The sequence below is a fragment of the Homo sapiens genome, chromosome 5 (genome assembly GCF_000001405.40).
Source record: "Homo sapiens chromosome 5, GRCh38.p14 Primary Assembly".
NCBI lineage: Eukaryota > Metazoa > Chordata > Mammalia > Primates > Hominidae > Homo > Homo sapiens.
In genome coordinates this window covers 152,748,975-152,764,637 of record NC_000005.10, presented here as the reverse complement: position 1 = coordinate 152,764,637, position 15,663 = coordinate 152,748,975, and the positions used below count along the sequence as shown (strand labels likewise).

Here is a 15,663-nt window from a genome sequence, read left to right as displayed (position 1 = left end):
TTAGGAAAAGAGGAAGTCAAATTGTCCCTGTTTGCAGACGACATGATTGTATATCTAGAGAACCCCATTGTCTCAGCCCAAAATCTCCTTAAGCTGATAAACAACTTCAGCGAAGTCTCAGGATACAAAATGAATGTACAAAAATCACAAGCATTCTTATACACCAACAACAGACAAACAGAGAGCCAAATCATGAGCGAATTCCCATTCACAATTGCTTCAAAGAGAATAAAATACCTAGGAATCCAACTTACAAGGGATGTGAAGGACCTCTTCAAGGAGAACTACAGAGCACTGCTCAATGAAATAAAAGAGGATACAAACAAATGGAAGAATATTCCATGCTAATGGGTAGGAAGAATCAATATCATGAAAATGGCCATACTGCCCAAGGTAATTTACAGATTCAATGCCATCCCCATCAAGCTACCAATGACTTTCTTCACAGAATTGGAAAAAGCTACTTTAACGTTCCTATGGAACCAAAAAAGAGCCTGCATCGCCAAGTCAATCCTAAGCCAAAAGAACAAAGCTGGAGGCATCACACTACCTGACTTCAAACTATACTACAAGGCTACAGTAACCAAAACAGCATGGTACTGGTACCAAAACAGAGATATAGATCAATGGAACAGAACAGAGCCCTCAGAAATAACACCGCATATCTACAACTATCTGATCTTTCACAAACCTGAGAAAAACAAGCAATGGGGAAAGGATTCCCTATGTAATAAATGGTGCTTGGAAAACTGGCTAGCCATATGTAGAAAGCTGAAACTGGATCCCTTCCTTACACCTTATACAAAAATTAATTCAAGATGGATTAAAGACTTAAACGTTAGACCTAAAACCATAAAAACCCTAGAAGAAAACCTAGGCAATACCATTCAGGACATAGGCATGGGCAAGGACTTCATGTCTAAAACACCAAAAGCAATGGCAACAAAAGACAAAATTGACAAATGGGATCGAATTAAACTAAAGAGCTTCTGTACAGCAAAAGAAACTACCATCAGAGTGAACAGGCAACCTACAAAATGGGAGAAAATTTTTGCAACCTACTCATCTGACAAAGGGCTAATATCCAGACTCTACAATGAAATCAAACAAATTTACAAGGAAAAAACAAACAACCCCATCAAAAAGTGGGTGAAGGACATGAACAGACACTTCTCAAAAGAAGACATTTATGCAGCCAAAAAACATGAAAAAATGCTCACCATCACTGGCCATCAGAGAAATGCAAATCAAAACCACATTGAGATACCATCTCACACCAGTTAGAATGGCTATCATTAAAAAGTCAGGAAACAACAGGTGCTGGTGAGGATGTGGAGAAATAGGAACACTTTTACACTGTTGGTGGAACTGTAAACTAGTTCAACCATTGTGGAAGTCAGTGTGGCAATTCCTCAGGGATCTAGAACTAGAAATACCATTTGACCCAGCCATCCCTTTACTGGGTATATACCCAAAGGACTATAAATCATGCTTCTATAAAGACACTTGCACACGTATGTTTATTGCAGCACTATTCACAGTAGCAAAGACTTGATACCAACCCAAATGTCCAACAATGATAGATTGGATTAAGAAAATGTGGCACATATACACCATGGAATACTATGCAGCCATAAGAAATGATGAGTTCATGTCCTTTGTAGGGACATGGATGAAATTGGAAATCATCATTCTCAGTAAACTATCGCAAGAACGAAAAACCAAACACCGCATATTCTCACTCATAGGTGGGAACTGAACAATGAGATCACATGGACACAGGAAGGGGAACATCACACTCTGGGGACTCTTGTGGGGTGGGGGGAGGGGGGAGGGATAGCTTTGGGAGACGTACCTAATGCTAGATGACGAGTTAGTGGGTGCAGCGCACCAGCATGGCACATGTATACATAAGTAACTAACCTGCACAATGTGCACATGTACCCTAAAACTTAAAGTATAATAATAAAAGAAAAAAAAAGAAATGTATATTGCATCTGAATGAAGAAATCATACAAGTATTGCCTAAATTATGATAATCTGATTTGGATACATTTTATTATGGCTACTTAGATACTTTCTTTCCCTACTGACACTGCCACCAAGTTAAGTCGAAACCAGAGTTCTGATTATAGACTGGTTCGGGTATGTTGTGTTTCTCCACCACTTTCTTTCATATCACATTCTCAGTATGCTTTAGAACATTTTTGTTTGTTTGTTTTTTGAGACAGAGTCTCTCTGTCACCCAGGCTAGAGTGCAATGGCATGATCTCGACTCACTGCAACCTCCATCTCCCAGGTTCTAGCAATTCTCCTGCCTCAGCCGGCCAAGTATCTGGGACTACAGGCACATGCCACAAAGCCCAGCTAATTTTTGAATTTTCAGTAGAGATGGGGTTTCACCATGTTGGTCAGACTGGTCTCGATCTCTTGACCTCATGATCTGCCCACCTCGGCCTCCCAAAGTGCTGGGATTACAGGCGTGAGCCACCGTGCCCGGCCTTAGAACATCTTTCTACCTTATAATATTGCTTTGTTAACAGCACAATTTTTGGAATCAAAAAATAAACACAGCTTGACCACTCACCTGTGTGACTGTGAGTAAATAACACCACTTTTTAAAAACCAATTACCTCATCTGTCAGATGAGAGTAATAATAAATGTGTTATAGAATAATGTAAGAAGTAATGAAAAAATTCCACTTCTGGTTATGATGGAGCAGCTTAATAGCCTAGCCTTCCTGCTGAGAACAATTATAGAAATTTAATAAAACAAAAAGAAATCGGCATTTGAAAGCACTGAAGAGCAACCATGGTAGCTCTTGGTACATCACTTTTTACCTCAATGAATTTGCCTCACTCTAAACAGCAAAGAGTGAAAATTTTCATAAGCCAAGAAGGGAGCTTCTGGGAAGACAGGTAGAGCTGTCAGCCACCTATTGGAGTTTAGGTCTTCCAAAGAAGAGGGTCTTATACATATTGGCTTTCAGTCGAGAACCTTGAAGAACAAAGCCAGAGAAGTAGGCAAACCAAAATAGACTAGGACTTACAAAGACTAAAACTCAACCATGAAAAATTGCAATTCCTGATTCAAATCCTCTGCCCCTACTTCAACTGCTTGCCAATAAGAGAACTAAATCATCTCTGGAAAAAGACAGTATCATCCTTAAGCTCTTGAATAGTAAATTTGAAATGTCTGGCATTCCGAGAAGAAGGGATATTTTCAAGCAAAACAAAAATAAACTCAGAAATGTGGAACTGCAAGTAAGATTGAATAACATAGGAGTAAATATATAGACAAAACTAAACAAATATTGGCTAGTTAAAACCAAAGATAATATATTTCAAAATTTTCAATATACATACAATTTAATATTGCAACAGCACTAAAAGCATGAGGAGATATATGTGCTAGAATGTTATAAGATGACTTTATTTTACGGGACCTGGAAAAAGCATTTGTTACAAATGCTAATAAGTCAATAATCCATTCCAGCATATCTAGAGACACCATGAAAAATAAATGTGTAACAAGCAATTTAATGAAAGGAAATAGAAGACATCAAATTACTTTAAAACAGACTAATTTTAAGTGGCAAGAAGAGAAAGTTACATGAGAAAGGTATATTAGAACTATAAAAGAAAATGTATTATGCAAATCCTAACCAAATGAGAACTAGTATACTAAAATCAATGTAGAATTTTAAAGAAAAATTACTAGAGATTATGTTGAACATTTTGCTATGATAAAATATTTAATCTACACATAAACACACATAAACATAGTTTAAAACTGCAAAACAAGTACAAGAAGCTCACATACAGAAAATGAGAATTAGTCAGATCATTAATTATTGTAAAAGATTTTTAATATCTCTCAGTAACTGGTAAAACAAAATAAGCAGTATTAAATATTTTTATAACAATAAAATTGATCACAGACATATGCAATCAACAACTGCAAAATATAGTTATCAATTCACATAGAATAATTACCAATATTGATCAGTTGCTAGGTCATTTAACCAATTCTCAACAAATTTCAAATTGGAGATTATACAGAGCATTATTTTTTATTTTCCTGTGGTAGAATTGGATAAGAGGTTAGTTGGTAACACAAAAACTATAAATCATGGCTATGAAAATCCTCAAATGTTTAGAAATTAAGCAGAACACTTTTAAATAATCCCCAATTCCTAAGAAACAAAAATATAAATTAGAAAATATTTTTAAATAATTGATAATATTTTTCAAATCTTTTGGCATGCAGTTAAATCTCCCTTAACAGAAAAAAATGCAAACTTGAACTCATATGTGTGAGAAAAGGAAAACTCAATATTCAAAAAGACGATCACCATAAACAAATGGTTGACTAAACTTGAAAATCAATCAATATGCTATAATAGTAAAATAATCTTACATGATCATCTCAATAAATGCAGAAAGATCATTTGACAAAACTCAACACCCTTTCATAATGAAAACACTCAACAAAGTTGGAATATAAAGGGAATTTTCTCAACCTCACAATGAGTATCTATGAAAAGAGCATAGCTAACATCAGACTTAATAGTGAAAGACTGAAAACTTTCCTGCTAACAAGAGGAACAAGACATGAATGCCTACTCTCACAGCTTCCATTTGACATTGTACTGGAGATGCAGCTAGGGAAAATAGCAAGAAAAAGAAATGAAGTCATTCATATTGGAAAGGAAGAAGTAAAAATATCACTATTTGCAGATGGCATAATCTCATACATAAAAAAAAACCCTGAAGAATCCATAAAAAACTGTTGGTGCTCATAAATGATTTAGCAAATATGTAGGATGCAATATCAATATACAAAAACGTTATATTTCTATTTTTCCTTCTTTATTGAGGTATAATTAACAAAAGTTATATACTTTGATGGTTTGATATGAACATAACAATGTGATATAATTACAGTTGAGTAAAATAACCCATCTGTCACCTCACAGCGTTACCTTTTTTGTGTGTGCTCAGAACAATTAAGAACTGCTTTCTTAGCAAATTTCAAGTATACAATACACTATTTTTAACTATATTCAACATTTTTACATTAGATTCCAGAACTTAATCACTTATAACTGACATTTTGTATCCTTTGACCAATGTCTTTTCATTCTCCCTACCCACTAGTTCTTGGCAGACACCATTCTGTTTCTGTGTGATCAACGTTTTTGGATTCCACATATAAATGAGATCACAGTATTTTGTCTTTCCGTTTCTGGCTTATGTCACTTACTAATGACTTCGGTGTCATCCATATTGTTGCAAATGACAATTTATTTTCTTTGTTATGATTGAACAATACTCCAGTGTGTCTCACATTTTCTTTCTCTATTTATGCACTGATGGATGTATAGGTTGTTCCCATACCTTAGCTGTTGTGAAGACCACAATGAATATGGATTTGATATCACTTCAAGACACTGATTTCATTTATTTTGGATATAGAGACAATTCCTAACTTAGAATAATTTGACTTACCATTTTTTGACTTTACGATGGTGTGAAATCAAAATGCATTTAATAGAAACTACACTTCAAGTATCCATATAACCATTCTCCTTTTCACTTTTAGTACAATCTCCAATAAATTGCTTGAGGATAGTCAACATTTATAATAAAATAGGCTTTGTGCTAGATGATTTTGTCCAAACGTAAGCTAATGTAAGTGTTCTGAGCAGGTTTAAGGTAGGGTAGGATAAGCTACAATGTTTGGTAGGTGTATTAAATGCATTTTTGACTTACAACATTTTCAACTTACATACAATGAGTTTATTAGGACACAACCTCATTGTAAGTCAAGGAACAACTGTACACCCAGAAGTGGTGTTACTGGATCATAGTATAGTTCTATTTTTAATTTTTGAGGAACTCCGTAATGTTTTCCATACTAGCTGTACCAATTAACATTCCTACTAAATCATATTGGTGTATAAGAATTTCCTTTTCTCTATATCCTTGCCAACACTTGTTATCTATTGTCTTTTTTATGATAGCCACTTAACAGGTGTGAGATATCTCATTTTAATTTTCATTTCCCAGATTATTCATGATAAGTACCTTTTCACATGCTTATTGGCGCTTATATGTCATCTTAGGAAAAATGTTTAGGTCTGTATTAGGGTTCTCCAGAAAAACAGAAACAATTATACAGATAGAAATCAGAGATTTATTATAGGAATTGACTTACAGCTATGGAGGCCAAGTCCCACAGTATGCCATCTGCAAGCTTGGATAATCTGAAAAGTTAGTGGTGTAATTTGGTCTGAGTCTGAAGGCCCAATAACTAAAAGAAATAATGTAACTCTAAGTCCATGACCAAAGGCCTGAGAACTCAGAGCCAATGATGTACGTCCTAGAGTCTGAAGGCTTGAGAACTGGGAGCTCTGAAGGGCAAGGCAGGAGAAGACAGATGTCTTAGTTCAAGAAGAGAGAAATAATTTGCCTTTCCACCACCTTTTTGTCTAATGAATTTGATAATGCTGTCCACATTAATGAAGGGGGATTTTTTTTTTTAATCTCAACTTCTGGGATACATGTGTAGAACATACAGGTTTGTTACATAGGCATACATGTGCCATGCTGGTTTGCTGCACCTATCAACCCATCATCTAGGTTTTAAGCCCCACATGCATTAGCTATTTGTCCTAATGCTCTCCCTCCCCTTGCCCCTCAGCCCCTGACAGACCCAGTGTGTGATTCTCCCCACCCTGTGTTCATATGTTCTCATTGTTCAACTCCCACTTATGAGTGAGAACATGTGGTGTTTGGTTTTCTATTCCTGTGTTAGTTTACTGAGAATGGTGGCTTCCAGCTTCATCCATGTCCTTGCAAAGGACATGAACTCATTCTTTTTTTATGACTGCATAGTATTCCATGGTGTATATGTGCCACATTTTCTTTATCCAGTCTATCATTGAAGCACATTTGGATTGGTTCCAAGTCTTTGCTATTGTAAATAGTTTTGTGATAGACATGTGTGCATGTGTCTTTATACTAGAATGATTCATATTCCTTTGGGTATATACCCAGTAAAGGGATTACTGGGTCAAATGGTATTTCTGGTTCTAGATCCTTGAGGAATCGCCACACTCTCTTCCACAATGCCACCAAAAGTGTAAAAGCGTTCATATTTCTCCACATCCTCTCCAGCATCTGTTATTTCCTGACTTTTTAATAATCACCATTCTAACTGGCATGAGATGGTATCTCATTGTGGTTTTCATTCGCTTTCTCTAATGACCAGTGATGATGAGTTTTTTTTCATGTTTGTTGGCTGCATAAATGCCTTCTTTTGAGAAGTGTCTGCTCATATCCTTCACCTACTTTTTGATGGGATTGTTTGTTTGTTTGTTTGTTTGTTTTCTTATAAATTTGAGCTCTTTGTAGTTTCTGGATATTAGCGCTTTGTCAGATGGGTAGATTGCAAAAATATTCTCCCATTTTGTAGGCCTGTTTACGCTGATGATAGTTTCTTTTGCTGTGCAGAAGCTTTTTAGTTTAATTAGATCCCAGTTGTCAATTTTGGCTTTTGTTGCAATTGCCTTTGGTGTTTTAGTCATGAAGTTTTTGCCCATGTGTATGTCCTGAATGGTATTGCCTAGGTTTTCTTCTTGGGTTTTTATGGTTTTGGGTTTCAGCTTTAACTCTTTAATCCATCTTGAGTTAATTTTTGTACAAGGTGTAAGGAAGGGGTCCAGTTTCTGTTTTCTGCATATGGCTAGCCAGTTTTCCCAGCATCATTTATTAAATAGGGAATCTTTTCTCCATTGCTAGCTTTTGTCAGGTTTGCTAAAGATCAGATGGTTGTAGATGTGTGGTGTTATTTCTGAGGTCTCTATTCTGTTCCATTGGTCTATATATGTTTTGGTACTGGTACCATGCTGTTTTGGGTACTGTAGCCTTGTAGTTCAATTTGAAGTCAGGTAGCATGATGCCTCCAGCTTCGTCCTTTTTGGTCAGGATTATCTTGGCTATGCAGGCTCTTTTTTGTTTCCATATGAAATTTAAGGTAGTTTTTTTCAAATTCTGTGAAGAAAGTCAGTGGTAGCTTGATGGGAATAGCACTGAGTCTATAAATTACTTTGGGCAGTATGGCCATTTTCACGATATTCTTCCTATCCGCGAGCATGGAATGTTTTTCCATTTGTTTGTGTTCTCTCTTATTTATTTGAGCAGTGGGTTGTAGTTCTCCTTGAAGAGATCCATCACGTCCCTTGTAAGTCGTATTCCCAGGTATTTTATTCTCTTTGTAGCAATTGTGAATCAGAGTTCGCTTATGAGTTGGCTCTCTGCTTGTCTATTACTGGTGTATAGGAATGCTTGTGATTTTTGCACATTGATTTTGTATCCTGAGACTTTGCTGAAGTTGCCTATTAGCTTAAGGAGTTTTGGGGCTGAGATAATGGAGTTTTCTAAATATACAATCATGCCATTTGCAACCAGAGACAATTTGACTTCCTATTTTCCTATTTGAATACCCTTTATTTCTTTCTCTTGCCTGATTGCCCTGGCCAGAACTTCCAATACTATGATGAATAGGAGTGGTGAGAGAGGGCATCCTTGTCTTGTGCCAGATTTCAAAGGGAATGCTTCCATCTTTTGCCCATTCAGTATGATATTGGCTGTGGGTTTGTCGTAAATAGCTCTTATTAATTTGAGATATGTTCCATCAATATCGAGTTTATTGAGAGTTTTTAGCATGAAAGGGTGTTGAATTTTATCGAATGCCTTTTCTGCATCTATTGAGATAATCATGTGGTTTTGTTATTTGTTCTGCTTATGTGATGGATTACATTTATTGATTTGCATATGTTGAACCAGCCTTGCATCCCAGGGATGAAGCCGACTTGATTGTGGTGGATAGGCTTTTTGATGTGCTGCTGGATTCGGTTTGCCAGTATTTTATTGAGGATTTTTGCATCAATGTTCATCAGGGATATTGGCCTGAAATTAATTCTCTTTTTTTGTGTGTCTCTGCCAGGTTTTGATATCAGGATGATGCTGGACTCATAAAATGAGTTAGGGAAGAGTCCCTCTTTTTCTATTGTTTGGAATAGTTTCAGAAGAAATGGTTCCAGCTGCTCTTTGTACCTCTGGTAGAATTAGGCTGTGACTCCGTCTGGTCTTGGGCTTTTGTTTTTGTTGGTAGGCTATTAATTACTGCCTCAGTTTCAGGACTTGTTATTGTTCTATTCAGGGATTCGACTTCTTCCCAGTTTAGTCTTGGGAGGGTATATGTGTCCAGGAATTTATCCATTTCTTCTAGATTTGTTTTTAGTTTACTTGTATAGAGGTGTTTATAGTATTCTCTGATGGTAGTTTGTATTTCTGTGGGATCAGAGGTGATATCGCCGTTATTTTTTATTGTGTCTATTTGATTCTTTCTTTTTTTCTTTATTAGTCTAGCTAGCAGTCTATTTTGTTAATCTTTTCAAAAAACGAGCTCCTGGATTCATTAATTTTTTTGAAGGGTTTTTTGTGTCCCTAACTCCTGCAGCTCTGCTCTGATCTTAGTTATTTCTTGTCTTCTGCTAGCTTTTGAATTTGTTTGCTCTTGCTTCTCTAGTTCTTTTTATTGTGAAGTTATGGTGTCAATTTCAGATCTTTCCAGCTTTCTGATGTGTGCATTTAGTGCTATAAATTTGCCTCTTAACACTGCTTTAGCTGTGTCCCAGTGATTCTGGTACAATGTCTCTTTGTTCTCATTGGTTTCAAAGAACTGCTTGATTTCTGCCTTCATTTTGTTATTTACCCAGTAGTCATTCAGGAGCAGGTTGTTCAATATCTATGTAGTTGTGCAGTTTTGAGTCAGTTTTCTTAATCCTGAGTTCTAATTTGATTGCACTGTGGTCTGAAAGATTGTTTATGATTTTCATTTTTTTGCATTTGCTGAGGAGTGTTTTCCTTCCATTTATGTGGTTAATTTTAGAATAAGTTCTATGTGGTGCTGAGAAGAATGTATATTCTGTTGATTTGGGGTGGAGACTTCTGTAGATGTCTATTAGGTCTGCTTGGTCCTGAGCTGAATTCAAGTCCCGAATATCCTTGTTAATTTTCTGTCTCATTTATCTAATATTGACAGTGGGGTGTTAAAGTCTCTCACTATTATTGTGTGGGAGTCTAAGTCTCTTTGTAGGTCTCTGAGATCTTGTTTTATGAATCTGGGTGCTCCTGAATTGGGTGCATGTATATTTAAGATAGTTAGCTCTTGTTGCATTGATGCCTTTACCATTATATAATGCCCTTTTTTGTCTTTTTTGACCTTTGTTGGTTTAAAGTCTGTTTTATCAGAGACTAGGAACGGAGCCCCTGCCTTTTTTTGCCTTCTATTTGCTTGGTAAACATTCCTCCCTCCCTTTATTTTGAGCCTATGTGTGTCTTTGCACATGAGACGGGTCTCCTGAATACAGCCTACCAGTAGGTCTTGACTCTATCCAATTTGCCAGTCTGCATCTTTTAATTGGGGCATTTAGCACATTTACATTTAAGGTTAATATTGTTATGTGTGCATTTGATCCTGTCATAATGATGCTAGCTGGTTATTTTGCACATTAGTTGATGCAGTTTCTTTGTATTGTCATTGGTCTTTATATTTTGTTTAGTTTTTTTGCAGTGGCTGGTATCAGTTTTTCCTTTCCATATTTAGTGCTTCCTTCAGGAGCTCTTGTAAGGCAGGCCTGGTGGTGACAAAATCCCTCAGCATTTGCTTGTCTGGAAAGGATTTTATTTCTCCTTTGCTTATGAAGCTTAGTTTGGCTGGATATTAAATTCTGGACTGAAAATTCTTTTCTTTAAGAATGTTGAATATTGGCCCCCACTCTATTCTGGCTTGCAGGGTTTCTGTAGAGAGATCCTCTGTTAGTCTGATGGGCTTCCCTTTGTAGGTAACCTGACCTTTCTCTCTGGCTGCCCTTAATGTTTTTTCCTTTGTTTCAACCTTGGAGAATCTGACAATTAAGTGTTTTGGGGTTGCTCTTCTGGAGGAGTATCTTAGTGGTGTTCTCTGTATTTCCTGAATTTAAATGTTGGTCTGTCTTGCTAGTTTAGGGAAATTCTCCTGGATAATATCCTGAAGTGTGTTTTCCAACTTGGTTCCATTCTACCTGTTGCTTTCAGGTATAACAGTCAATCATAGGTTTGGTCTTTTCACATAGTTCTATATTTCTTGGAGGCTTTGTTCATTCCTTCTCATTCTTTTTTCTCAATTTTGTCTTCATGCCTTATTTCAGTAGCTTGATCTTCAATCTCTGATATCCTTTCTTCCACTTGATCGATTCAGCTATTGATACTTGTGTATACTACGTGAAGTTCTCCTGCTGTGTTTTTCAGCTACATCAGGTCATTTATCTTCCTCTCTAAACTGGTTATTTTAGTTATCAGTTCCTGTACCTTTTATCAAGGTTCTTAGGTTCCTTGCATTGGGTTAGAACATGTTCCTTTAGCTCAGAGGAGTTTGTTATTATCTTCTGAAGCCTACTTGGTCAATTCATCAATCTTGTTCTCCGTCCAGTTTTGTGCTCTTGCTGGAGAGGAGTTGCAATCATTTAGAGGAGAAGAGGCATTCTGGTTTTTGGAATTTTTAGTGTTTTTGCGCTGTTTTTTCCTCATCTTTGTGGATTTATCTACCTTTGATCTTTGAGGCTGATGAGCTTTGGAAGGGGTTTTTGTGTAAGGGTCTCTTTTGTTGATGTTGATGTTGTTGCTTTCTGTTTGTTACTGTTTCTTCTAACAGTAAGGACCCTCTTCTGCAGGTCTGCTGCAGTTTGCTGGAGGTCCACTCCAGACCCTGTTTGCCTAGGTATCACCAGTGGAGGCTGCAGAACAGCAAAGATTGCTGCCTTCTTCCTGTGGAAGCTTTCTCCCAGAGGGGCACTGACCTGATGCCAGCTGGAGCTCTCCTGTATGAGGTGTCTGTTGATACCTGTTGGGACGTCTCTCCAAGTCAGGAGGCATGGGGATCAGGGACCCACTTGAGGAGGCAGTCTGTCTCTTAGAGCTGGTGCTCTGTGCTGGGACAGTCCCCCTTGTCAAGATCAATTGTTCTCTTCAGAGCTGGCAGGCAGGAAAGATTAAATCCACTGAAGCTGCACCCATAGCCACCCCTTCCCCCAGGTGTTCTGTCCCAGGGAGTTGAGAGTTTTATCTGTAAGCCCTTGACTGGGGCTGCTGCCTTTCCTTCAGCATTGCCCTGCCCAGTGAGGAGAAATCTAGAGAAGCAGTCTGGCCACAGCTGCTTTGCTGTGCTGTGGTGAATTCTGTCCAGTCCAAACTTCCCACCTCCTTAGCACTGTCAGGGGAAAACTGCCTACTAAAGCCTCAGTAATGGTGGACGCCTTTCCCCTCACCAAGCTCAATCATCCCAGGTTGACTTTAGACTGCTGCACTGGCAGTGAGAATTTCAAGCCAGTAGTTCTTAGCTTGCTGGGCTCTGTGGGAGTGGGACCCACTGAGCAAGACCGTTTGGCTCCCTGGCTTCAGCCCCCTTTCCAGGGGAGTGAATGGTTCTATCTCACTGAGGTTCCAGGAGCCGCTGGGGTATGAAAAAAACTCCTGCAGCTAGCTTGGTGTCTGCCCAAACAGCTGCCCAGATTTGTCCTTGAAACCCAGGGGCCTGATGGTCTAGGCACACAAAGGAATCTCCTGATCTGCGACTGCAAAAACTGTGGAAAAAATGTAGTAACCCAGCTGGGTAGCACAGTCCCTCAGGGCTTCCCTTAGGTTGGGGAGGGAGGACCCTCAGCTCCTTGCACTTCCTGGGTGAAGCGATGCCCCACCCTGCTTCTGCTTGCTCCACATGGGTTGTACCCACTGCCTAACCCATCCCAATGAGATGAACTAGGTGCCTCAGTTGGAAATGCAGAAATCACCCACCTTCTTCTTTGATCTCACTGGGAGATGAAGACTGGAGCTGTTCCTATCCGACCGTCTTGGCCTCTCCTGATTTTCTTTACTCAGTCTGCTGATCCAAATGCTAATCTCTCCAGAAACACCCTCATTGACACACTCAGAAATGATGCTTTCTCAGCTGTCTGGGCATCCCTTATTCCAATCAAGTTGATACATAGAATTAACTATCAATTGTTGTTTGCTGATTTTTAAATCAGGTTATTTTTGTTATTTGAGTTCTATAAGTTTCTTATAGTTTGGGATATTCGCCCTCACCACACAGACGGTTTGCAAATATTTTCTTGCATTTTGCAGGTTGTCTTTTCATTTTGTTGATTATTTCCTTTGCTGTGCAGTAACTTTTTAGTTTGATATAGTCATACTTGTTTACATTTACTTTTGTTGCCTGTGCTGTTGGTGTCATATCCAAAATATCATTCCCAAGAACAATGTCTAGGAGTTTTTTTTTTTCCTCCTTATGTTTTCTTCTTAAAGAATTTTGGTTTCAGGTCTTACATTTAAGTCTTCAATCCATGTTGAGTTAATTTTTGTGTGTAATATAAGGATATAATTTCATCTTTTTGCATACAGACATCTAGCTTTCTCAACATCATATATTCAACACACTATCATTTCCCCATCATGTATTCTTGGCACCCTTTTCAAAGCTTGGTTTACCGTACATGTATGGATTAATTTCTGGATGCTCTATTCTGCTCCATTTGTCTTTCTGAATATGTCGGTACCATGCTGTTTTGACAAATATAGGTTTGTAATATAATTTGACATTCAGAAATGCAATGCCTCCAGTTTTTTGTTCTTACTCGAGATTATTTTGTCTACTCAATATCTTTTGTGGTTCTGTATACATTTTAGGATTTTTTTCTATTTCTATGAAAAAAATGACTTTAGTATTTTGATAAGGATTGCACTGAATCTGAAGATTGCTTTGGGTAGTATAACAATTTTAACAAGATTAATTCTTCCAAGCTATAAACACAGAACATCTTTCCACTTATTTGTATCTTTTAAAATTTTTCAAAATATAACTCCTTGGTTAAACTTATTCCTAAGTATCTTATTATGTTTGATGCTATTATAAATGGAATTGTTTTCTTAATATAATTTTTGGATAACTTGTTAGCGTATAGAAAGGCAACTGCTTTTTATACTAATTTTGCATCCTGCAACTTTACTGAAGTCATTTATTAGCTTTAACAGGTTTTGGGGGAAGTATTCAGGGTTTCCTAGAAATATAATCATATCATTTATAAACAAAGACAATTTAACTTATTTCTTTGCCGTGTAGATACTGCCTACAGTATCTTGCCTAATTGCTCTACCTAGGACTTCTAGTACTATGTTAATACAAATAGTGAGATCGGACATTCTTGCTTTGTTGCTGATGTTAGAGGAAAAACTTTCATCTTTTCACCATTAAGTATAATGTTAGCTATAGGTTTGTCATGTATGTTCTTCAGTATGTTGAGGTAAATTGCTTGTATATATCATTTGTTGAGAGGTTTTTGTATGGTGAAAGGATACAAAATTTTGTCAAATGCTTTTTTTGCATCTATGGAGTGATGGTATAATTTTTAAATTCCCCATTCTGCTAATGTGGTGTACTATGTTTACCGATTTGTATACATTGAAACATCTTTGCATCTCTGATATCTTCTTGGACCCACTGGTTATTCAGTAGTGTGCTTTTTACATGTTTGTATTTTTTCAAAATTCTTCCTTTTATTGAATTTGAGTTTTATACCACTGTGGTAGAAAAGTACATTTGATATTACTTAAATCTTCAAATTTGTTAACATTTGTTTGGTGGCCGCACATATAATCTATTCTGGAGTATGTACCATGTGTGCTTGGGAAGAGTGTGTATTCTCTTTGGATGAGATGTGCTGCATATGTATCTGTTAGGTCTATTTGGTCTATAGGGTTATTCAAGTTATATCTGAATGATCTATCTGTTGTTGAAGGGGGCATTGAAATTCCCTGCTATTGTTGTATTTCTATTTCTCCCTTAGGTTTTGGCAATCTTTGCTTTATATGTTTAGGTGCTACTGTGTTGGCTGCATATATATTTACAATACTTATATCATCTTAATGAATTGACCCTTTTATCATTATGTAGTAATTTTCTCTGTCTCTCGTGACAGATTTTGACTGAGTTCATTTTGTCTAACAGAAATATAGCCACCCTTGCTCCTTTTGGTTTTCATTTGCTTGGAATATCTTTTTCCATCTCATCACTTTCGACCTATGTATGTCCTTAGGGTTTAAATGAGTCTTTTATGAGCAGCATATTGTTGAATCTTACTTTTCTTTATATCCTTTCACTCTGCGTCTTTTGAATAGCAAATTTAATCAATTTACATTTAAAGTAATTATTAATGGGTAAGGACTTACTACTGCCATTTTATTGTTTATGACATTTTTATTTCCTTTTCGTCTCTTGCTATTTGCTGTTATTTGTTTTGTAATGGAATGCTCTGATTCCTTTAAGTTCAATGATACATGTGCAGGATGTGAAGGTTTGTTACATAAGTAAACATGTGTCATGGGGGTTTGTTGTATAGCTTATTTCATCAGCCAAGTATTAAGCCTACTATCCATTAGTTATTTTTCCTGATCTGTTCCCTCCTCCCAGCCTCTACACTCTGGTAGGCCCCAGTCAGTGTGCATTTTTCCCCTCTATGCATTCATTTAGCTCACATTTATAAGTAAGAACATGTGGTA

At 37.1% G+C, this 15,663-nt stretch overlaps 1 long non-coding RNA gene across 1 annotated transcript in view, besides 1 other annotated feature; it reads left to right on the top strand.

Annotated features, from left to right (window-relative positions):
- The window catches only part of LINC01470 (long intergenic non-protein coding RNA 1470), a 353,385-nt gene that overhangs the window by 207,712 nt on the left and 130,010 nt on the right, over positions 1–15,663 (top strand). The window lies entirely within an intron of this gene.
- Positions 11,997–12,166: an enhancer, noted in NCBI's record as "experimental_83185 CRE fragment used in MPRA reporter constructs". NCBI's record gives its function as "activates a minimal promoter by MPRAs in K562 erythroleukemia cells, with activity observed for the non-introgressed 5:152132117 variant allele {active_cell/tissue: K562}" and the evidence as "EXISTENCE:reporter gene assay evidence [ECO:0000049][PMID:34662402]".